The sequence below is a fragment of the Homo sapiens genome, chromosome 10 (genome assembly GCF_000001405.40).
Source record: "Homo sapiens chromosome 10, GRCh38.p14 Primary Assembly".
Taxonomy (NCBI): Eukaryota; Metazoa; Chordata; class Mammalia; order Primates; family Hominidae; genus Homo; species Homo sapiens.
The window spans coordinates 72,366,926-72,392,441 of record NC_000010.11 but is presented as its reverse complement, the minus strand read 5'-3'; the positions used below and the strand labels follow the sequence as shown (position 1 = coordinate 72,392,441).

General features: G+C 43.8%; 1 protein-coding gene and 1 pseudogene across 24 annotated transcripts in view; one reads left to right on the top strand and one right to left on the bottom strand.

The window, feature by feature from the left end:
* MICU1 (mitochondrial calcium uptake 1) overlaps positions 1-25,102 on the top strand; it is a 258,740-nt gene extending 233,638 nt beyond the window's left edge. For 20 of the 24 annotated variants that reach the window (NR_199810.1, NM_001441228.1, NM_001441226.1 and 17 more), the window contains 2 exons: positions 16,570-16,659; positions 24,087-25,102. Coding sequence is in view for 21 of the 24 variants with exons in the window: in NM_001441228.1 (NP_001428157.1) it covers positions 16,570-16,659; positions 24,087-24,247 (251 nt within the window). In the remaining 3 variants the exon portion in view is untranslated. Of the gene's footprint in view, positions 1-12,858; positions 14,011-16,569; positions 16,660-24,086 lie in introns of those variants that run through there. The other 4 variants (NR_199811.1, NR_199809.1, NM_001441225.1 and 1 more) reach the window with 4 other exon arrangements.
* On the bottom strand, positions 373-478 carry RNU6-805P (RNA, U6 small nuclear 805, pseudogene; annotated as a pseudogene).

Here is a 25,516-nt window from a genome sequence, read left to right as displayed (position 1 = left end):
ATGCCACCACACCTGGCTAATTTTTGTATTTTTAACAGAGATGGGGGTTTCACTATATTGGCCAGGCTGGTCTTGAACTCCTGACCTCAAATGATCGCCCACCTCAGCTTCCCAAAGTGCTAGGATTACAGGCATGAGCCACTGTGCCTGGCCCTCTGTGTTTTTTAAATAAAGATAAAAATAGTTGTCCCTTGGTATCTTCAGGGGTTTGGTTCCAGGACCGCCTCCACCCCCCGACCCCGCCACACACACACAGAGTTACAAAGTCTTTGGGTGCTCAAGTCCCATATGTGAAACGGTTGCATAGTATTTTTATATATAACCTACACATATCTTTCCATATACTTTATTTCTTTATTTTTAAATCATCATCAAAATATGGAACACTTCACGAATTTGTGTGTCATCCTTGCACAAGGGCCATGCTAATCTTCTCCAAATCATTCCAGTTTGAGTATATGTGCTGCCGGACGAGCACTAGATGCGGGTGACCCTTGAACAGTGAGGGATTAGCTGTTTTCACCCCACACAGTTGAAAATCCTAGGATAACTTTAGACTCCCCAAAAACTTAACTACTAATAGCCCACTGTTGACCAAAAAAGGCTTACTGATAACATACAGTCAGTTAACACATAAACTAGTATCTATATATTTTTTATGTATTCACTACATACATTTTTCCTAATTTTTTTGGTACGTCTATGCTGTGTGGTCCATCTATGAGGTTTTCCAAATAGTCATAAGCCTCCAAAAATTTTTCCAACGTAATTTATTGAAAAAAAAATCTGCACGTAAGTGGACCTATGCAGTTCAAGCCTGTGTTGTTCCAGGGCCAACTGTACTTTAAATTATCTCAAGATTACATATAATACCTATTACTATGTAAATGCTAAGTAAATAGTTGTTATGCTGTATTTTTAAATTTGTAATAGTTTATTGCTGTGTTGTTACTTTCTACTGGTTTTCTTTTCTTAAATTTTATTTTATTTATTTATTTTTTTTTTGAGATGGAGTTTTGCTCTGTCGACCAGGCTGGGCTGGAGTGCAGTGGCATGATCTCGACTCACTGCAACCTCCGCCTCCCAGATTCAAGCGATCCTCCTGCCTCAGCCTCCCAAGTAGCTGGGATTACAGGTGCCTGCCACCATGCCCAGCTAATTTTTGTATTTTTAGTAGAGAGAGGATTTCGCCATGTTGGCCAGGCTGGTCTTGAACTCCTGACCTCAGGTGATCCACCCGCCTTGGCCTCCCAGTGTTGGGATTACAGGCGTGAGCCACTGCACCCGACATTTTCTTAAATATTTTTGATCTGCAGCTGGTTGAATCCATGGGTGTGGAACCTACACATATGAAGGACCAACTGGACCCACCTCATAGGGTTGTGAGACTAAATCTACATAAAGCACTTAACTTTGTGGCTGTCATGTGGTGAACGATTAGTCAATGTCAGCTGCTTCTATTATGAAGTTGATAATTTAAACAAAATTTAGTGTGGCTCAAGTATTTATTCACCCAAAAGCAATAGGTACTGTGCTAGGCACAGGGTTCCACCCTCAAGAAGCTCAGAGTCTAATGGGGGAGAAAGATAAGTGTAGAAGCAGTTCCAGTTGGGTGTGATAAGTGCTAATTAGAATAAGAGGTTCTAGGAGCTTAAAAGTGGAGGCCCTAATTTATACCAGTGGTTGGGAAAGAGTGAGGCCAGAGTAGAGACAGGAATACTTTTTATCTGGCTTCTGCTGTGAGTCTCAGCTGTCTTCATTTTTTCCCAAAAGGTTAGAACCTTCAGAAATTGGCACCTTCTAGGCCCTGGCACTGTCTCTTCCTTGGCTATTTTAGAGGTTACAAACCAGTCTTTAGGCATAATTTAGCACAGAATTTTCCAAACAGCATTGTGAAGAACACTGTATACTGCAATATGATGATGGTTCTGTGGATTTAAAAAGAAAAAAAAAAGTATTCCATGGTTCAAATAAGTTTGGAAAATGCCAGAGTTATATAGAATTTCTTCTTGCAGCACTCCTGCTGCCAACTTTTTAATATATGAAGGTGCATTATTAATCTCTGGAAGAGGGATATAGTTTCCAAATTTGATTTACTCCAGACCATCTTTTAATAACTTACAGAGTTAATGTTCCTTGGAATAATTTGAAAGATCCAGGCAGGTGGCCACTGCAGATTTACTGTATTAGAACATAGTCCAGTTCCTCCAGAGTAAAAAATGTCACATTTCTTTTTTTTCTTTTTCTTTTTTTCATTTTTTCTGTTTGCCCCTCCTACCATTTGAAAAAAACATCAAATTTAATTAAGGCTATTTCTTTAGTTCTGCATGACCCATGTGAGAGTAACAACCATCAGGTAATAATGAAGTGTTTTCAAGAGTTCTAACCATCTGAAGAAAGAACCTTTCTCCATGAAATACTGTGTGTCTCCACTATCAGGCGTCTCTTCGTTTAGCACTTAAGAAGAACTGGTTCTATTGCTCATTCGTACGCACACTGGGCATAAAATTAGATCTATGACCTCTCAGCGGCTGGCTGATTGATTTAAGTGGTCTGCTGAAGAAGGTAATGGAAAATTGAACATGACTCCTTTCCCAATGGCTTTCTATGATGAAAAAGTTAGAAATTATTTGAGCTGGAGCTCTAGAGTGAGCTTCAGCCCATATAACTCAGAATATTCCAATTTCTGCCAGGAGAATATCCAGGTACAATAAAGCTCCACTGTAAAGCACCTCAGGATAGTACAGATGCAGTAAACCTGTGGGTTCAGTTACGTCCTCGGTGTACTTTGAACTATAAAATCAGAAAATAATCACACAAATATAGTCCCTGGTCTTTACTATTCACGCCCCTGCACAATTCTACTTACACTGAAAATTATAATTTATGGCATAGTTGGCCTTGATTCTTTGTAGTTATTCTATACGTGCAGTTTACCTTATTATCTGACAAGCCAAAAGAACAAATAATAAAATCTATGGCATAACTCCTACAGGAGCTTTCTGCAACCCCAAGTATTTTTTCTGAAGTTTTAGTCACATCTTCAAATGGTCTCAGTTTCTTTTGTCTCTGGAGGGACAAGGATGGCAGAGATGACCTCTGAGAACCTTTGCAGCTTTCAAATTCTTTGAGTCTAATAATTGGAATGAGTAAGGGAGCCTCAAGTCTTTTGTCATTTAGGCTCTAACTGGATTGTTGGGGAAGTCAGAAATTACTGATGGAGTCAGCAATTTCTAGCACACAACAAACTCTTATATTCTGAACAACTGTCTTTAACAGACAAGCTGCCACCCACTCCTGAACTGTAATAATCCGGTAGCACTGTCCTGTCCAGGACTGTGAGGCCATCACACATCTGGAACACTAACAGCAACTCTCATTTCATAGTAGTTTCTCTGTGCCAGGCACAATGCTTAGTGCTTTATGCATGTTATCGCTTTTAATCTTTAAAACCTGAATTATCCTCATTCATCTTCACTTTATGGATGAGGAAAATATCAAATGAAGCCACTTGATCGTGGTTATCCAGCTTAGTGGTGGAAAAGCCAGGATTCAAGCTCAGGTCTCTCTAATTCCCAGTCTGTGTTCTTTCCACATCGTCGTGTTGCCTCTCAGTATACTCCACAATTCTGTTAGAGTCTGAAAAGCTTTGCTGAAGCACAATCCAGAGGGGACTGTGGCTTTACCATTTCAAACCATGCTTCACAGTAGCATTGGGAAGACAGACTCTGGACTTTTTTTTCCCAGTTGCTTTTGGCTAAGAGTTGACCATTCTTAGGGTGAGAATGAAGTCCTTTTGATAAACTATGATGTTTTAGAGATAGTGCCCTTCTCTTGAATATGAAATGTGACCTTTTTTTCCCCTACAATTGTCTGTTCTGTTCAGGTATAGGTTCTACAGCTCAGACACAGACATCCATAGTCCTTACCTTACAATAACAGACTCTTGGAGTTGTCTAATCTAGCTTCTTGTCCTGCATAGGAACGCCTTAGTAGACACATCTGTGATCTTTACCTTTGGAACCATATTACTTTTCACTGAGGAAACCAATACACAAAAGCCTGAAGTTATTTAAATAAAGTCATGTAGCAAGAAAGTTGATATCCTTTTAAGGGATACCACAGACCAGAAAAAGGCATGTATGCTAAGCTGCGCTTTTCTCAACATCAAAATACAGGATATAGATACACCTTCCAATGACCAAGGTGTTCCTCACCACCTCCGCTCATTGGTATACCAGTGCTCTGTTGCACTTTTAGATACTGTTCTAACATCTAGCATTTATTGAGCGTTAACTATATGCAAGAAATTGTGCTGAATATAAATTTTGGTTTTAAGTTCAAACCTGAGTTTGAGTCCCCGCTATTCACTAGTTTTGTGACCTTGAACAAATTCCTTAAGTTCTCAAAGCCTCAGTTTCCAGATCTGTAGAATGGTGATAGTAGAATACTTGTTTCAGGGTTATTGTGAAAATAAAAAGAGATAATACTATATTAATATACTAGGTTGACATTAAAATTGTACCAAACTGCCTGTTCTGGTTTTCAACCCATAGGTGCTGGCTTTCTTCTGCCTGTTTATCTTATTAGGGGGCTGGAAACAACCTATACCAACATGGCAACATCATAAAAAGTGTTTTTTTTTTTAAATCATCCTTAAAAAAAAAAAAGCACCAGATAAGGCTCTTTGTTCTCTGAGGAAGTGGAATCTACTGCTTTTTTTTAGTCACTTTTGACATTTTTATTAGCTTAGAAGTTCTAAGTTGTTTATACTCATTAATGAGGATTGAAGCTTCTAGGTTCTCCTAAGTTTCATCATTCATCCAAAAATTATTGGTGTCTCTGCCTTCAGAAGCCTTTATTAAAAAAGTTCTCTGTTCCTAGGAATATCTAACCCCTATTGATATGTCTCATATCTTCAGCATTCAAGGGGGAATTCATTAGACTGTAAATTCTCAAAGACTTGAACCATGTTTTCTACAACTTTGTGTGCTATTCAGAGCCTAGAACAACTCTTTATATAAACAGATGTTCGTTTATGTTATGTAAATGAATTAATTCTAGACCTTTCCAGATCCTGCAAAGGATGATGAAATACTCTAGTAAGAGCGTAGGGTGAGGGGAAGAGTGTTAGGACTGTAGCACCTTCCCATGTCATTAATTTCCTTTGACTCCTTGAGCAGGTCACTACTCTGACCCTCAGGTTGGAGTTATAAGTATCTCTAAGGGTTCATGCAGATTTGAAATTGTATGATTATAACTAAATCCGCTTTTTACTGAATGAAGTAATGTTTTAAGTGACATGTCATAGCCTAAAATTATTTCCAAATCTATTGCCTCACAGGGACTGTTAGCCCAACTTGTTTATGTGAAATCTTTATGAAAGTGAACTGACTTATAATTGTCAGGTACATTTGAAGTAAGAGCAAGACTTGAATTCCCAAAAGAAGTGTGGCAGTTTTAATTTATTTCCTTGTTAGGAAATGTAAAACTTAATTAGACCTTGGCTAGTTTCCCTGTAAGATCTAATTTATGGAGTTTGGTATAGTAGGTAAAACAGAATGATGGTTCTGTAAAGTGCACTCTGTCAAAAAATGAGTGCAGGCCAGGGACAGTGGCACAACCTTGTAATCCCAGCACTTTGGGAGGCTGAGGAGTTCCAGACCAACCTAGGCAACACAGTGGGACTCTGTCTCTACAAAAAATACTTTAAAATTAGCCAGGCATGGTGGCACACACCTCTAGTCCCAACTACTTAGGAGGCGGAGGCAGGAGGATCTCTTGAGCCCAGGAGGTTGAGGGTACAGTGAGCTATGATCATGCTACTGCACTCCAGCCGGGGTGACAGAATGAGACACTGTATCAAAAAAAAAAAAAAAAAAAATAGGTGGCGGGGGATGAGGGATGAGTGCGGCTCTATATAACGTAGAAGTTGAGGAACTTCAAAAAGATAGTCCCTTGTCCGGGCACAGTGGCTCACGCCTGTAATCCCAGCACTTTAGGAGGCTAAAGCAGGCAGATCACCTGAGGTCAGGAGTTCAAGACGAGCCTGGCCAACATGGGGAAACCCCGTCTCTACTAAAAATACAAAAATTAGCCTGGTGTGGTGGTGGGCACCTGTAATCCCAGCTACTCAGAAGGCTAAGGTGGGATAATTGTTTGAACCCGGGAGGCAGAGGTTGTAGTGAGCCAAGATCACGCCACTGTACTCCAGCCTGGGCGACAGAGCGAGACTCCGTCCCCCTCCAAAAAAAAAAGACATTCCCAATCATAAATGCCTTCCCCACTGGCCAGTTTCTGTGATTCAGAGTGTTGGCACAGCATAGCTGGGTTCTCTGCTTAGGATCTTAACAAGGATGAAATCGCAGTGTTGTTGGGGGGCCTTCATTTTCATCCGGAGTTCAGGGTCCTCTTCAAAGTTCTTTCCTGCTGTTGGCAGAATTCAGGTCCTTTCAGTTGTAGGACCAAGGATTCCTTTTCCTTGCTGGCTGTTGGCCAGTCATTGCTCTCAGCAGGTGACTACAGCTCCTTGCCACCAGGCCCCTCACAGCATGGCAACTCACTTCTTCAGAGCCAGCAACAGAATCTCTCGCCTCAGTCTGCTAAGATGGATTCTTACATAACATAGTTATGGGACTGACTAGCCCATCACCTTTCTCATATACAGTAACCTCATCACAGGATTATCGTAGTCACAGGTTCTGCCCACCTGAGGAGAGGGGATTACACAGGATATGTGGACCAGAGGGTGGAAATACTGGGCGGGGGGCACGTCAGAATTCTGCTCAGCACACCAGCCATCATTTTAGAAACCTACACCTTTGGTTTTATTATTCTGAAGATAGGGACATTTAAACTGATTTAAATTTTAGGGCTGGAAGATAACTTAAAAATCATTTTGTTTAAACCCTTACTTTGTTTTTTGGTTTTTTGTTTGTTTGGTTGGTTTTTTTTGAGACAGTCTTGCTCTGTCACCTAGGCTAGAGTGCAGTGGCATGATCTCAGCTCACTACAACCTCCGCCTCCTGGGTTCTAGTGATTCTCCTGTCTCAGCCTCCCAGTTAGCTGGGATTACAGGCACACACCACCACGCCCAGCTAATTTATATATTTTTAGTAGAGACAGGGTTTTACCATGTTGGCCAGGCTGGTCTTGAACTCCTGACCTCAGGTGATCTGCCCAGCTCGGCCTCCCAAAGTGTTGGATTTATAGACGTGAGCCACTGTGCCCGGCCTGCTTGTTTTTAACATTCATAAAGGGAAATGACTTGCTGAAATCACAGACCAGAAGTTCAGGTTCAGCGACTTCCACACCAGGGTTCTCATTAGTACCCTGGCACCTACTGCTGCTAGAAGGACCTAGAGAATTACATCGAGGACTCAATGCTTTTATGTGATGCCGGAAAGTGGGGCAAATTCACAGCAAGAATGTAGGGAGAGCATCCCCCAGACAGCCAAGACATGGCAGGAAGGCAGGAGTGTCACAAAGACATGTAAGGAAGAGATTACAACAGGAAAAAAGCTCCTATTTTATAAATTCTTTTAAAGTTTGTGGGAGGCAAGCTCTTGCACTTCAGTTCATCATTACATTTGGTAAAAACATTTATATGTGAAGAGGAGTGTTGGCCAGGATTCCATTCATTTAAGACAGAGTCATCAATTTTTAAAGTAAAATTATTCATGATGTAGGCAAGGAAGCTCAAATTCTGAAATAAATGTTTGCTTTATGAGGCATTTTCTCTGCAGAGGCCTGGTTTATTTTCCCAAATTTAAAGTCACTTAGCAATTCTAAAGATTGATTCTGGCTTATGATCACTTTGAATATATTATGATTTAGTAAAATTAGGTAAGTGCCCTAAGGAGGAGGAGAGCTGCTTTAGGGATTCATGATTACCATCATGAATTACATCACAAAGAGAAGAGATGGGGGTAGGATAAACTGTTAAAGCATCCACATAAATAGATAAGGAAAGACAAAATCAGCCAACATTACATCCCACTGAGAAAAAGATCAGAAAAAGAATGATTACTAGAATTACATCAATATCGGGAAAGTGTAGAGGGAGTATTTATTATAAGCATTGCTTCTTTGGGGGTTTCAAGGTTTACTACCTTGAGAAGCCTCGGAAGGTTTAATAAGACACTGTGGCTGGGCCCAGTGGCTCATAGCCTATAATCCCAGCACTTTGGGAGGCCAAGGTGGGTGGTTCGCTTGAGCCCAGGAGTTCAAGACCAGCCTGGGCAACATGGTGAAACCCCATCTCTACAAAAAAATACAAAAATTAGCCAGGCATGGTGGCGCGAGCCTGTAGTCCTAGCTACTTCCGAGGCTGAGGCGGGAGGATCATTTGAGCCCAGGATGTTGAGGCTGTGGTGAGCTGTGCCCTCACTACTGCACTCCAGCCTGAGCAACAGAGCAAGACCCTGTCTCAATTAAAAAAAAATTTTTTTTTAATAAAATTGTTTAAAAATGCAAAACCTAGCCAGGTGTGGTAATCCACACCTGTAGTCCCAGTTACTAGGGAGGCTGAGGCGGGAGAATCAGGAGCCCAGGAGGCAGAGGTTGCAGTGAGCCATGATCTTGCCACAGCACTCTAGCCTGAGCAACAGAACCAAGACCCTGTCTCAAAAAAACAAACAAAAAAGACACTTGTAAAGGTGACTATTTAGTCTTTAATTTCAACAAACTGAATTTAAATATATCAGTTACTCTCAGTTTAGCCATCAGAGATTCAGACTCTGTTATAGCTGACCCCCACAGACCACAAAGGAAATAATTTTTTAAAGAGAAGGGGAAAAGGTACCTTCTTCTCAAGATTGAGATAAGAATAAATAAGGAACTGGTTAAATAAACAAGGAAATTATGATCCATCCTGTCAGTGGAATACTATGCAGCTATTGAAGGAAGCTGCTCATGTCCATCTGGAATTATTTCTAAGATATGTTGTTAAGTGAGTAAAGCAAAACAATATTTAGTACACCACCATTTTGTGGGAAAAGGGAAGAAGCGAAGAGTACATATTTGATTTTATATCTACAAAATATTTCTGGGGAAACTAGTGACATTGATTGTCTCTGAATGACTGGGTGACTGGGGTATAAGGTTGGGAGAGAGACTTCACCCCTTTTGTACCATTCAAATTTTGAAGCAGATGACTATATTAGCGAATCAAAAACATCTTTTTTTTTTTTTTTTTGAGACAGGGTCTTGCTCTGTTGCCTAGGTTGGAGTACAGTTGTGCAGTCATAGCTCACTGCAGACTTGAACTCCTGGGCTCAGGTAATCCTCCCACCTCAGTTTCCCAAGTAGCTAGGACTGCAGGAGCGCACCATCGTGCCCAACTAATGTTTTTTAAAATTTTTCGTAGAGATGAGGTCTTCCTCTATTGCCCAGGCTGGTCTCATTCTTGGCCTCCCAAACCACTAGGATTATAAGCATGAGCCACTGCACCTGTCCTAATTAAAAACAACTTTTAAAATAAAGCTAACAGAATGAATATTTAAACAATGTGAGAGGGAAAAGCAAGTTACTATTGGACGGAGGCTTGCTCTGTCGCCCAGGCTGGAGTGCAGTGGCGTGATCTTGGCTCACTGCAGCCTCCGCCTCCCGGGTTCAAGTGATTCCCTTGCCTCAGCCTCCTGAGTAGCTGGGATTACAGGCATGTGCCACCACGCCTGGCTAATTTTTGTATTTTTAGTAGAGACGGGGTTTCGCCATGTTGGCCAGTCTGGTCTTGAATTCCTAAGCTCGGGTGATCTGCCTGCCTTGGCCTCATAAAGTGCTGGGATTACAGGCGTGAGCCACCACACTTGGCCTGTTTTAAAGACTTTCTTGCAAGGAGACTTGACTAGTCCTCTGTAAGATTTCTCCTAATGTACTCACCCCCTGCACCTTCTGTTCTAACTCTCTAATCAGGCCTTAGCACTCCTTCCTGCTTTTAATACTGTATTCAAACAGAAACCCCCAACCCACATCACTCACTACCATACATGCGCAGTTGGTCTCTTTTCTCCCTTAGAATTCAGATACAGGCCAGGCGCGGTGGCTCATGCCTGTAATCCCAGCACTTTGGGAGGTCAAGGCGGGTGGATCACCTGAGGTCAGGAGTTCGAGACCAGCCTAGCCAACATGGCGAAACCCTGTCTCTACTAAAAAAAAAAAAAAATTAGCCGGACGTGGTGGCAGGCACCTGTAATCCCAGCTACTAGGGAGGCTGAGGCAGGAGAATCACTTAAACCCGGGAGGCGAGGTTGCAATGAGCCGAGATCGCACCACTGCACTCCAGCCTGGGCGACAGAGCAAGACTGTCTCAAAAAAAAAAAAGAATTCAGATCCAAAATGTAACTCGTACCAAATACACACTATTCCATTATTTCCCATATGTGTGTATTAATATATCTGATATCTGTCTCTTCTACGTGTTTCTCCATCTTAATGTGTGTGTGTGTGTGTGTGTGTGTGTGTGTGTGTGTGTGTGTATAGATATATATATACACAGTCTCCTCCACCAAACTGTGATTGTCCCATGGGTGTGTCAGCTGAAATCATTGACTACCTAATGATGCTTGCAGAAATGCTAGCCCTTTGTGGAAAAGATGTGATGGGGATTTTTAATAAACCCAGATACAATACTAGACAATGGCAATAAATCTTACTGCCAAGTTAGTTTGTACCAAATTAAGCGTGTAAGCCCATTGAAGCCATCATCTGGGATGATGCGCTCAGGCTCAGAAAACAGATCTTCTCCGTGGTGTGTCCTGGAAGTTAGGAGCTAGGATTAGCAGCATCACCTCTGACAGTCAGGCAGCCTGAGTACACAGGGGGTCAGCGGGCATAGGGCCTAAGAGCACCGTACAGAACAAGGAATTGTTATCATTTCCATTACTTGTAGGCTGCATTGCTCTTGGCTCCTTAAATTGCTAGTTCTCCTAAATGTTGTCGTTTCCCCTCCCCTCACCCCAGAACTAGGTTAAAATGTGCATTTGTATTAACAAAAGCTCATGGAAGGAGATACAAAAGACAGGACACATGCTCTTTAAGGAAATATCCTCCCCCTTGTTCCACCCAAAGCCATCTAGGGATGGACTTAAGAAAACAAGACATCTGCATCAGCCTTTCCAGGGCTGAAGCAGAACCATCTCCCCTCACTTAACCTTGGCCATCACCAGTCAGCTTTTGATTTTCTCCACTGCAGTCCGGTAAGGCAGGAATAGTACATGGCCACACAGCTTAGAGACTGTCAGCCCAACTTGTCATACCACCTTTCCAAACACTTTTGCATTAGGAAGAGGCAGGTAGCTCCTAACTGGGTCATGCTGCCTAAAGCTGTATCTGTGCATCAGAGGCAGCTGTGGAGAAAAACTCCCAGGGCCACATTCGTTACATGTGCTTTTCGTTGGATTGCTGTTGAATACACTTTTTAAGTTGTCCCTAAAATTGTCGGTATGAGTTCCTAGGGAATACTCAGTGTCTTCCACTGTAGGGGGTAGTCAGATCCACGGCCAACCTATAATTAATGCTGGTGCCTCACAACTCCCAGTTATTCAATTATTCATTCATCCCTCACCAAAAGGACTTGAGTATTTCCCATGTGACTTTTCTTTAATCTAAACCCTTTCTCCTCAGGGTGACAGATTCATGTCATGGAGGAATTGATATTGTCCATATATGGAAGGGATCATGTGGACCCAGTGTGTATAGGGAAAGGGCACCAGCCAAAATTCGAGACCCAGCTCTGTTACCATCTAGCATTGTGACCCTGGGCAAATTATTTAACGTCACATTTCCTCTGAGGTATCTTCCAGTTCTAAGATTCTCTGATTCCAAGTGGACATTTGGGCTCTCATCACTTCAGAGCTCTTCTGTTTAACTATTGTGGTGAATAGATTTATGTATGTAGTTTCTGATATTATATCACACAAACTCAGGGTTTCTTTTTACTGTTGAAACAGCCAGTCATGAATCATGCTGGAGAGTAAATTGGGGACCTGACACAACTCGGATTCTGCCTGGACTTTGCAAAAAGCCAGATGGTGCCAGATTTTTGAGTACTAGTTGAGCCCACTTCTACAAATTCTCTCCCATCCCAATCTAATAGGAATCACCCAATCGCACTTAAACCCTTTGTTCAGGCAGCTGGGCCAGATTTGTACAAAAATACGTAGTATTTAGAAAGCTAGGCCTTCGCTGGGGTGCCTTCATGCTCCCTGTAGACATCTTTCAGATTGGGAGCTGGAATCCCAACCATCAGTCAGCATCATCAAATAGGGAGGCCAGAATTCCAGTACCAACAACTGGTCTGCATAAAAAAGTTGAGATCTGGGAGGAAAACTTGTTCTGCTTGCTGTGATTATGACTGGATTCAGAGATATTGGAAGCAAATATGAATGAACCAACTCTCAGGACCAGCTGTCAAGCACTTGGCTTGTAATCTGCCGTCATCCCACTCATCCCAGGTGCTCCTAGTTTGACAGCTCACCAGCTATTAAATGTTGGCTTCCTGCACGACTCTGATTCATACCCCAGGGGCCTATAATGAGGATCTTGTACCAGGAAAGGGGACCCCAGCTAGGCTGTTTGCTGGCTAACATCCCAGTGGTTTGGGCTACAATAACTTAGCAGCCCTAGTTCTTCCTCCTATGGTAGGAAGGACACCAGAGCCCTCTCCATGTGAGATGGAACATAATCTATAACTTTCTGTGAAGAGATGGCATCTGTAATGAGGCATTCTTGCTGGAGGCCTCCAGAAGTCCCTATTCTACAACCACTTAATACCAATTTAATGAGCCTCTCATTAGAAATTGTCAAGAGCTCTCACTGACATCCTTGAGTATTATTTAATTAATGGTTTATTTACAGGAAAGGGCACCATCTTCATGGGGAGAAGATGAGTACTTGAAATATCAAGACAATTGCAGAAGGCTGTGCCCTGAGAGAATGGAAGAACTGGGAAAGAGAAAAGGAAGTCAGAAGCTTAAGGTTGATGTGAAATGCAGAAAAAGGAATGGTTAACAGAAAGTGTTCATGTTTATCTAATACAGAACAGGTTCCGATCCCCTTCTCAGGACACATTTCTGTGGCAGCAAAGAGTAAAGCTGTAGGCAATCACAGTTTAAGCGCTTCCAGTTCCTTCTGATCTCATTCTGTTTTCACTGAGTAATCTTTTGAGGTTAATCTTCTGAGGTGAATGGGGTTTCCTTAGTAGCTTTCCTACTGAGAAGTATAATGACCAGCTGTCATCATTGTAGTTCTCTTAACAGTTACTATTCTTATTGCAAATTGGCCTGATTTCTGTTCCTTCTGTGGACAGTTTAGTTAGCAGGAATAAGTTTTTCCTGAGCCAAATCAAGTATCTAGATTTGTGAGGCTAAATTTCTAAACTCTAGAGCGCTATAGTCTTGTAGATTTCCCAACACACATCTCATGAATATCCACCACAATATCTTATACTTCAGTCTTTTAGTACCAAAGAATGTTAATTTCCTCTTCACCCTAACTCAGATCCTGGGAGAAAAGATGGGATATTTCCACCCCAACCTCACCCTCAGATTCTAGATGACACCAATAAACCCTTCTTTGTGCTAGTAAGCCGCCTCAGCAGTTGTCTGGTGGCATCCCTCCACTTGAACATGAGAAAATTAAATCTAAAGAGATCAAGTGACTCCATCCGGGTCACACAGCACGTTGGTGGTGGGGCCAGAACTGGAGCCCAGGTCCCGTTACTCCAAGCCTTGTTTTCTACCGCATTACCTTGCTCCTCTGCATTGCTCCAGTGTTTGCATCTGCTGATGTTGGGGGCACTGTGGTGATGTATTAATTAATTCTTGCATTGCTATAAAGAACTACCTGAGACTGGGTAATTTATAAAGAAAAGAGGCTTAATTGGCTCACAGTTCCACAGGCTGTAAAGGAAGCATGGCTGAGGAGGCCTCAGGAAACTTACAATCCTGGTGAAAGGCGAAGAGGAAGGAGGCACGTCTCACATGGCCAGAGCAGGAGGAAGAGAGAGAGGTGGGAGGTGCCACACACTTAACCAGATCTCATGAGAACTCGCTTACTATCATGAGAACAGCAAGGGGGAAATCTGCCCCCATGATCCAGTAACCTCCTACCAGGCCCCTCCTCCAACACTGGGGATTACCATTTGTTTTTGGATTTTCAGGGTTTTTTTGTTTTTGTTTTGCTTTTGTGAGACAGAGTCCCGCTCTGTAACCGAGGCTGGAGTGCAGTGGCACAGTCTTGGCTCACTGCAACCTCCGCCTCCCAGGTTCAAGTGATTCTCATGTCTCAGCCTCCTGAGTAGCTTGGACTATAGGTGCGCACCACCACGCCCAGCTAATTTTTGTATTTATTTTAGTAGAGACAGGGTTTCACCATGTTGGCCAGGCTGGTCTCGAACTCCTGACCTCAGGTGATCCATCAGCCTTGGCCTCCCAAAGTGCTGGGATTACAGGTGTAAGCCACCACGCCTGGCCTGGGAATTACAATTTGACATGAGATTTGGGTGGGGGCACAAATCTAAACCGTATCGGGTAAATATATGGAGGTGATAGAGGCAAAGTGAAAGATCAAATGCAAAAAATGACAAGATGGGCTGATAATAGGAACTGAAATTATAGGAATGCGATAAACAAGGCACAGTGGTTCTAGTTTAAGTTCACTTGGCTTCTGGATGAATCTAATGTGATGATTATAGAGAGCTCTTCATTACCAGCATAAATGGAAATTAATCCTTTTCTTTCCCTCATATTTTACCTCACTTAAGAATGTGTCCAGAAGCAATAACATGATTTATAGGTGTAGCTAGACCAGGTTTGAGGATAAATGAGAGAGAAGGCAGTGGAAATTGCCTCGTCCTTCCTGTCTTGTCTTTCATGAGAACCCAATTCTAACATAATTGCTAGTGTTTGACGGTGAATGTCTGGGAAAGAGAAAACGGCAAGAGAAAAGTGATTTTTTGCTGAGGTCTAAAAATATATATTTTTTAAAAGAAAGATATGCATCCTGAACTATTGGCCGGGCCCGCTGAGTGTGGTGGCTCACCCCTGTAATCCCAGCACTTTGAGAGGCCGAGGTGGGCAGATCACCTGAGGTCAGGAGTTCAAGACCACCCTGGCCAACATGGTGAAACCCCATCTCTACTAAAAATATAAAAATTAGCCAGGCGTGATGGCAGGCACCAGTAGTCCCAGCTACTTGGGAGGCTGAAGCAGGAGAATTGTTTGAACCCGGAAGGCAGTGGTTGCAGTGAGCCGAGATCGTGCCACTGCACTCCAGTCTGGCGGACAGAGTAAGACTCTGTCTCAAAAAAAAAAAGAAAGATACGCATCCTGAACTGTTAAGACAAGGGCCAGTGCATATACCAATGGGCTCAGTTGGAAGAAGTCTGGTGCAAAACCAGTAGGGAGGAGGGACAGAGTTGGGCAGGGAGGGCTCACTGTGCAGGCACTTAGCTGTCATTCACCCACCAAGGCGTGAAGCCTTAGTGTACTCACACCACAGACAAGCCTCCTTGTTCCCACCACCCATTTATATATTTCTATAAATATATATATAAATATAAAAATATATATGGCATAAAATGTGCCATTATAACCATTTTTAAATATACAAGTCAGTGGAATTACATTAATTACATTCACAATGTTGTACAACCATCATCACTATTTTCAAAATTTTTCCATCACCCCAGACAGAAATTCTGTATACATAAAGCAGTAACTCCCCATTCCCCTCAGCCCACAATAACCTCTAATCTACTTTCTGTCTATAAATTGAATATCAGGCACTTTTTATTTTTTGAGACAGTGTCTCACTCTGTTACATAGAGTGTTACTCCAGTACAGTGGCGCCATCTCAGCTCATTGAAACCTCTGCCTCCTGGGCTCAAGCTATCCTCTCACCTCAGCCTCCCAAGTAGCTGGTGCACACCACCATGCCGGGCTAATTTTTTGTATTTTTTGTAGAGACAGGGTTTCGCCATGTTGCCTCGGAATCCCAAAGTGCTGGGATTACAGGTATGAGCCACCGCGCCTGGCCAGCCTAGGCATTCTTAATTAACTATATATACCTCCTAAACTGTAGCAGCAGTAGAAAAGAACAGAACTTGAGGTGAAAAGGAGGGAGCTTATGAATAAAAACTCAATTATCATTTTTTCTTTTTTTTTTTGAAACGGAGTCTCACTCTCCCAGGCTGGAGAGCAGTGGCGTGATCTCAGCTCACTGCAACCTCCGCCTCTCGGGTTCAAGCAATTCTCTGCCTCAGCCTCCCAAGTAGCTGGGATTACAGGCACCGGCTAATTTTTTGTATTTTTAGTAGAGACAGGGTTTCACCATCTTGGCCAGGCTGGTCTTGAAGTTCTGGCCTCAGGTGATCCACCCTCCTCGGCCTCCCAAAGTGCTGGAATTACAGGCATGAGCCACTGTGGCCAGCCTAACTTATCATTTTCTTAAATGTGACTTAAATGCAGTTGAAAACTTGTATTATGACTGAGTCGTTTTATCCCCTGAATCAGAGAAAGCAAAATGAAAATCCCTCTGCTGTGCTAATGCACCTCTTTCTTTTTTCAGTGACCATGCAGCAGGTGGCCAGGACAGTGGCTAAAGTGGAGCTCTCAGACCACGTGTGTGATGTGGTGTTTGCACTCTTTGACTGTGATGGTGAGTGGGGCCCTCTGGAGCCCGGAGGGGAAACAGCCTAGCTGCCCTTAGAGGCCCTTGTGTATAATGGAGCCTTGCGGACAGCATCTGTGTACCAGCCCATCCTCTTCAAGCTACCCACCTTTCTCACATTAGCACCTCAGCCCTTGGCATGATGATACTGAGAAATCGAACCCCTGGCCCTGGCTTCTGTTTTCCATTTCTTCTTCTTATAATTCCAATATGCCTATAGGCCTAAATTAATTTATGACCATAAGCATCTTAAAAATGGAAACAAAAATGTCAGACTCAACTTGCTACTTAGCGGATACGGAGCACTCAGGTATCTGAGTGTCTTTAGAAAGAAGGCAGTACTGATCTCTCCACCACCCAGGGCACATTCCAGCCAGTTGCATTCCATCTCCATAGCATTCCAGCTCCACACAGTGGTCTGTTGTGTCTGTGGCCACTCTGCTCTGTCATTTAGCCCATTCAAGAGATCTGGTTCTGGTTTGACCTTGGCATTATTTTTTAGGTATGGTAGCTGATATACTAATAACAACAATAACAACGGATGCTTACACTTTTTCAATGCTTACTATGAGCCAGAAAGTTAATCTGCTCATTTAATCTTCTGACCTAGGTATTGTTATTGACCACTTTTTACTGATGAGAAAGCTGAGACTCAGAGAGGTTAAGTAGATTTCCTAAGGTCACAAAGATAATAGTATTTGGGAGGCTGAGGCAGGCGGATCACCTGAGGTCAGGAGCTCAAGACCAGCCTGGCCAACATGGTGAAACCCCGTCTCTATTAAAAATACAAAAATTAGCCAGGCACAGTGGTGCGTGCCTGAAATCCCAGCTACTCGAGAGGCTGAGGCAAGAGAATCACTTGAACCCGGGAGGCAGCAGGGAGCAGAGATCGTGCCACAACACTCCAGCCTGGGCGACAGAGCGAGACTCTATCTCAAAAAAAAAAAAAAAAAAAAAAAAAAGATAATAGTAGATGGCAAAACCAGGATTTGAACTAAAACTGTACTGCCCCCTCTGTTTTATTTACTATATTACCACCCTCTCTTACCCCACAGCCAGTATTTGTTGTTCATCATCCTCCAGAAAGCTGGGCTAATGGAATTCAAGAGCCTGCTCAAAAGCTCCAGCCTATGGAGCTTCCCTTTTGGTCCCAGCATAAGAATCACTTCTGGGCTTTTTTATTCCTTAACATGGTTCCCTGAGCTTTTTAAGGGTAGTTGCAAGTCCTTTTCACCTTCCTACCCCCCATAGGACCTTGGATAGTACTTCTCACATAATAGGTGTTCATTAACTTGAATTATTTATGTTATTAAGTTGAACTTGAGTTATTTAAATCTCTAGCCTTGGCCTGGCGTGGTGGCTCATACCTGTAATCCCAGCACTTTAGGAGGCTAAGGCAGGAAGATGGTTTGAGCCCAGGAGTTTGAGACCAGCCTGGGCAATATAGTAAGACCATGTCTCTACAAAAAATTTTAAAAATTAGCCAGGCATGGTAGCACATGTGTGCCTATAGTCCCAGCTACTCAGGAGGCTGAAGTGAGAGGATCGCTTGAAGCGGGGAAGTCAAGACTGCAGTGAGCCATGATCACACCACTGCACTACAGCCTGGGTGACAGAGTGAGACCCTGTCTCAAAAAGTACAATTAAATAAATAAAATAAATCTCCAGCCTATACCTACAAAACCAAGGTTGAACTCAAAGGAAGCCCTAGGGCTAGGTTAAAGAGATGGCCTCACTCTCAGGTAGGGGTGGGTTTATTCTCTAGAGCTGCCCTGTCCACAGTATGATACCACCAAGGCACATGTGGCTATTAGCTACATTTAAATTTAAACTAGCTAGTGGCTACTGTATTGAATAGCACAAATATAAAACATTTCCCACATCGCAGAGAGTTCTAATGCACAGCAGTGCTGTAGACATATATTAACTTTCTCCAGATTTTTGTTTTCACTCCAATCACTTCTAGGTGGTTTAAATTTTTTCCAAAAAACATTTATTTTTATTATTTTTATAATTTTTGAAGCCAATATCCAAGACCTGGTCTGTGAAGTAAATATGGGAATAAATGCAACTAGCTTCTCAAGTCCCCCCTTTTCCCTAGAAGTCCTGGAAAATGATGTTTGATTTTCTAGCTTTTTAGAAAGAGGTTCTGTCATTATCTACTTAAATCACCTTTGGAAAATTATTTAACATCTCTGAGATTTATTTTCTTAATCTAGAAAGAAAAAGTATACTTAACAAAAAGCCGTTGTTATTTTTACCACTGCAAGATCTTAGGTCAAAATGCCAAAGGAAAGCCTGTAGAGTGGCTCACAACTGTAATCCCAGCAACTTGGGAGGCTGAGATGGGAAGATCACTTGAGGCCAGGAGTTCAAGACCAGCTTAGGCAACATAGCGAGATCCCATCGCTACAAAAAATAAGTTTAGCCAAGGTGTGGTAGTGTGTGCATGTAGTTCTAGCTACTGGAAAGCTGAGGTGTGAGGATCACTTGAGCCCAGGAGTTTGAGACTGTAGTGAGGTATGATCCTAGCGCTGCACTCCAGCTTGGGCAACAGAGCAAGACCTCATCTCAAAAAAAAAAAAAAAAATGAACAAACAAAATAAAGTGCCAGGGGATGGAGAATTCGATTTTCAAATAGACTTCTTCATCACAGATTTTAGAATTGAACTCACAAATCACACATGCATGCAAATAACATACAGTTATAGACCTGGTTCACAGTAACAAAATCCACTCATAGTGGTCATGTGGTCCTTACGGAAGCAGAAGGTAAACCCATAGTAGTTTGAATGAAGTGACTTCATATTTTTTCATTTTCAAGCTTCTTTTTCTTTTTTCTTTTTTTTTTTTTTTTGAGGCTCACTCTTGTTGCCCAGGCTGGAGTGCAACAGCAACAGCACGATCTTGGTTCACTGCACCCTCTGCCTCCTGGGGTCAAGCTCTTGTTGCCCAGGCTGGAGTGCAATGGCATGATCTCGGCTCACTGCAGCCTCTGCCTCCTGGGTTCAAGTGATTCTCCTGCCTCAGCCTCCCGAGTAGCTGGGATCACAGGCGCCCACCATCACACCCGGTTAATTTTTTTTGTATTTTTAGTAGAGACAGGGTTTCACCCTGTTGGCCAGGCTGGTCTTGAACTCCTGACCTCAGGTGATCCACCTGCCTCAGCCTCCCAAAGTGCTGGGATTACAGGCATGAGCCACCACACCTGGCCTCAAGCTTCTTTTTATACAAAGTGTAAGAATCCTGTTTAGAACTTTCTGTTCTCTTAATTACATTTTTTTTTAAATTTGTTTTTGTTTTTTTAGAGAGAGGTCTCACTATGTTTTCTAGGCTGGCCTCAAACTCCTGACTCAAGTAGTCCTCCCTTCTTGGCCTCCCAAAATGGTGGGGTTATAGGCGTGAGCCACCACACCCGCTCTGTCACCAGGCAGGAGTGTGGTGGTGCGATCATAGCTCACTGTAACCTCAAACTCCTGAGTTCAAGTGATCCCCTCACCTCAACCTCTTGAGTAGCTTCAGAGGCACATGCCACCACACCTAGCTAATTTTTTTGAATTTTTTCGTAGAGAAAGAGTCTTGCGATGTTGCCCAGGCTCGTCTCAAACTTCTGGCCTAAAGCTGTCCTCTTGCTTTGACCTCCTGAGTTGCTGAGATTACAAGCATGAGCCACCACACCTGGCCTACATTTATTTTTTTCTTTTTTTTTTTTTTCGAGACAGCATCTTGCTCTGTTGCCCAGGCTGGAGTGCGGGGGCATAATGTTGGCTCACTGCAACTCCCGCCTTTCAGACTCAAGCAATTCTCCCACTTCAGCCTCCAAAGTAGCTGGGCCTACAGGCAGGCACCACCATGCTCAGCTTATTTTTTAACTTTTTGTAGAGACAGGGTCTCACTATATTGCTCATGCTGGTCTTGAACTCCTGGGCTCAAATGATACTCCCACCTCAACCTCCCAAAGTGCTGAGATTACAGGTGTGAGCCACTATGCCCCACCTTGGCCTATATATATATATTTTTTTCTTTGAGATGGAGTTTCACTCTTGTTGCTCAGGCTGGAGTGCAATGGCACAGTCATGGTTCACGGCAACCTCTGCCTCCCGGGGTCAAGCAATTCTCCTGCTTCAGCCTCCCAAGTAGGTGGGATTACAGGTGCCCACCACCACGCCTGGCTAATTTTTCATATTTTTAGTAGAGATGGGGTTTCACCATGTTGGCCAGGCTGGTCTCGAACTTCTGACCTCAGGTTCTCCACCCGTCTTGGCCTCCCAAAGTGCTGGGATTACAGGCGTGAGGCACCGTGCCTGGCCTCGGCCTACATTCTTGATAAGCCAAATTATTCATTACTTTTCAGCCAAGCAAGGCTTTTTTTTTTTTTTTTTTTGAGACGGAGTCTCGCTGTGTTGCCCAGGCTGGAGTGCAGTGGTGCGATCTCGGCTCACTGCAAGCTCCACCTCCCAAGTTCACGCCATTCTCCTGCCTCAGCCTCCCGAGTAGCTGGGACTACAGGCACCCGCCACCACGCCCAGCTATTTTTTTTTGTATTTTTAGTAGAGACGAGGTTTCACCGTGTTAGCCAGGATGGTCTCAATCTCCGGACCTCATGATCCGCCCGTCTCGGCCTCCCAAAGTGCTGGGATTATAGGCGTGAGCCACTGCACCCAGCCCAAGCAAGGCTATTTTTTAACTTTTTATTATATTGCAATATAATATATGGAAAAGTACAATTTCTTTTTTTTTGAGACAGAGTCTGACTCTGTCACCCAGGCTGGAGTGCAGTGACGCCATCTCTGCTCACTGCAACCTCCATCTCCCAGATTCAAATGATTCTCATGCCTCAACCTCCCAAGTAGCTGGAATTACAGGCGCCCACCACCATGCCCAGCTAATTTTTTGTATTTTTAGTAGAGACAGGGTTTACCACGTTGGCCAGGCTGGTCTTGAACTCCGGGCCTTAAGCAATCTGCCCGCCTCGGCCTCCCAAAGTGCTGTGATTACAAGCGTGACTCACTGTGCCCAGCCTAAAGTACAAATATCTTAAGTGTACAGCTTGGTAAATTTTTAAAAAGCTGAACACACTTGTATAACCAGCATTATTTAGAAACATCACATTACCAGGACTATAGAGCCCTACTTGGTACCTCCAGTCACTTCCTTCCCCAAGAGTCACCACTTTTCTGACTTCTAGTAACACAGTTTTACCTTTGTACTTTATATAAATAAGCCAAGTGTTTTTTTGTTTTGGTTTTGGGTTTTGTTTTGTTGGGTTTGGTTTTGGGTTTTGTCTTGCTGTGGGGGGTTTCCTGTCTCTGAGGATGCCCATACTCTCTTCAGCCAGAAAACATGAGCCAGTTTAGGTTTTGGGTACTCTACAGAAGTAAACCATTTATTCCTTCTTACCACACTCTTCCCAGACCAATCATGAGTAGAGGTAGGTTTGTGGGTTTCCTGCTATCTTATCACCACCAGTAATGGGTGTCATTATTTTAATCAACAGGCCCCTGGGTGTCTTGCAAAGGGTGACTGTACCTCTGCTATTACAGTGGTTACTGTTCTGTGTGGCTTGGGTGGTTTCTAATTAAAACAGATGCTCTTGGCCAGGCGCAGTGTCTCACGCCTGTAATCCAGCACTTTGGGAGGCCAAGGTGGGCGGATCATGAGGTCAGGAGATTGAGACCATCCTGGCTAACACGGTGAAACCCATCTCTACTAAAAATACAAAAAAAATTAGCTGGGCATGATGGCGGGTGCCTGTGGTCCCAGCTACTTGGGAGGCTGAGCAGAGAATGGCATGAACCTGGAGGGGTACTTGCAGTGATCCGAGATCGCACCACTGCACTCCAGCCTGGGTGACAGAGTGAGACTCCGTCTCAAAAAAATATATATGTACAAAAATTAGCCGGGCATGGTGGCATGCGCCTCTAGTTGCAGCTACTCAGGAGGCTGAGGCAGGAGAATCGCTTGAACCTGGGAGGCGGAGGTTGCAGTGAGCTGAGATCGCGCCACTGCACTCCAGCCTGGGCAACAGAGCAAGACTCCGTCTCAAAACAAACAAACAACAACAACAACAAAAAAAAAAACAGATGCTCTCCAAAGTTTCTTCCAGCCCTCTGACACTGAAGAGGGTGGATTAGGAAACCATGAGAAAATGGGCTCAATCCAAAGCCAAAGTTTGATTTTGGTTTTCACCACGAAACCCCCTCACCATCTCTCCATTACAGCAGAGAGACTATTGCAGCAGTCTCCTAACTGACCCCAATATTCCAGGTGTGCCGCCTTCCAATCCATCCTCACACAACCAGCCAGAAAAATCTGTCCAAAATGGAAATCTGCCTGCTTCTTACTCCCCTGCTTCCAGTTTTTTTCTGATGTTCCATTGCCTGGAAGAGAAAGTGCCAGACCTTTAGGAGCAATACAGACCCTGGGGGGACCTGTCTCCTGCCCACCTCTTTTTTTTTTTTTTTTTTCCAAGAGACATGGTCTCACTGTGTCACCCAGGCTGGAGTGCAGTGGTCATCATAGCACACTGCAGCCTTGAGCTCCTGGTGATTGCCGCAATCACCGGGTGGTAATCAAGCGATCTTCCTGCCTTAGCCTCCCAAGTAGCTGGGACTACAGGTGTCCACCACCATGCCCAGTTAATTTGAAAAAAATTTTTAGAGACAGGGTCTCGCTATATTGTCTAGGCTGGTCTTAAACTCTTGACCTCAAGAGATCCTCCTGCCTCAGCCTCCCAAGTAGCTAGGAAATCAAGCACAAGCCACCACACTCAGCTCCCTGCCTTCCTCCTTAGTTTACTTCCCATGCACCTGCTTCTTTAGTGTCCAGCAATACCTAACTGCCTACTTGCAGTTCCCTGGCAGCCACGCTGTATCCTGCCTGTACTCATGCTTATGCTGCTTCTCCTCCCTGGAATGCCTCCCTCATCTCCCCTTAACTTGGCCAATTGCTGCTAATCCTGTGAGATTCTACTCAGGAGTCACTTCCAGGAAGCCTTTACTATCTGTATTTGCATTACCCTCAGCCAGGGTGGGAGATTCTTCCTCTGTGCCCCCCATAGCATCCTCCGTTTACCCCACACTGTGGTATAATAATTTGTCTCTCCTACAGCCTGGAAGTATTTCCAGGGACAAAGCACAAAGCTCATTTATCTCCTTGTTCTAAACACCTGGCACAAGACCTGGCATATACTGTATTTTCATTCAACTTTTGTCACACTACACTGAACTGTCACTGAGTTGCAGTTGGAAATATCGAGGAAGGAATAAACTAATGAATTCTAGGATAAGAGAATTGAGTTTGGCTGTGGAGAATGTCTGGGCTTTGAAATCCACTTTGTGTGGACAATGGAATTATATCAGTGGTGTTGTTCCAAGGCCAACACTTATCCCTGTTGTTTTTGCCTCTTCCTCTAGGCAATGGCGAACTGAGCAATAAGGAATTTGTTTCCATCATGAAGCAACGGCTGATGAGAGGCCTGGAAAAGCCCAAAGACATGGGTTTCACTCGCCTCATGCAGGCCATGTGGAAATGTGCACAGGAAACTGCCTGGGACTTCGCTTTACCCAAACAGTAACCCCACACTGCAAGAGGGGACCCCTCCACCCCCAGTACCCTGGACCCCCTCCGCAGAGTCTCGGCAGAGCCCTTTGTGCTGCTGCTTCTGGAAGTAGTCCCCCTTCCTCCCGGGATGACCTCAGGACTCTGTCGGTTTCCCCTCTTTACCCTTCCCCGTCCCCGTGTTCTGCTGGGCTCTGATTCTGCCCAATGAGTATCCCCATAGGTTCTCAAAAACATGAACAAGTCTGTAAAGCTCAGACATTTGTCAGCCTCAACAGCACCACCCATTCAAGCATCCTGTGGATAAAGAATTCAGGGAACCATCCACACACCTGCCAACCCTGGGAAGCATCCAGTTCTCAAATCGTTTTTGCTATGGATTTATACTAACAAGAACATTCCTTGACTTCCCTCCTGCTGGTGTTTTAAAGCCACAAGTAGGGAAGATATCTGGCAGGCAGAAAGAAGTCTGTGATGATAAACAATGATGAGGATGACCTAGGCACCCTACGCTAGTGTGAGAAGCCTGCGCCCCAGGAAGGATCTGTGTTAGTCCCTGGGATGGCTCCAAGGCCTGCTCTAGGAAGGCAGCATGCTCAGTGGGAACACAGCAAGATTCAGAATTTAAAGTAGTTGCTTCATGGCTCTGTGCACTCCCTTTTCTTCCTCGCAGCCTCCCTAAGATGACTCCAGTGTGACCCTGTGCTTAGTGAGCAATAGTGATTGAGCTCATGTTCCCTGCAAGTGCCATTTCCTCTCCAGGATGGGCCTCTAAAGCTGAGGCCTGGCTCAGAGCCTGTTTGCCCTCTGTCTTAAACAATTGTAAATATCACTTAAATTATAACCATTTGCAATAAACATCCCCAAAGTTCCCTGTCTCCTTTATTTTAGGGTCCTCTAGGCCCTTTTCATTTTATGTCCCCACTGGATTTGAGATCTTGCTGGAAGCAGACCTGTTTTCTTTCTACCAGAGTCTGGTTCTTTCTGATGAAGAGCAGCTTTAGGCACAGACAAAAAGTGAGGGCTTTTGGAGGTTAGTGGTGGCATTGTCCCCGCACAGTTTGGTTAGCATTTCATTCTGGGCCAAGGTACACAGTCCTTGCTTATTCATGCCCCACAGTAAAGAACTAAGATGGGGAGTATGTGAGGAATCATCTAGTATGGTGGACCTAAGTTGTGTGGGGTTTTTTGGTTTTGCTTTTGTTTTGAGACAGGGTCTCGCTCTGCAACCCAGGCTGGAATGCAGTGGCGCAATCCTGGCTCACCACAACCTCTGCCTCCCAGG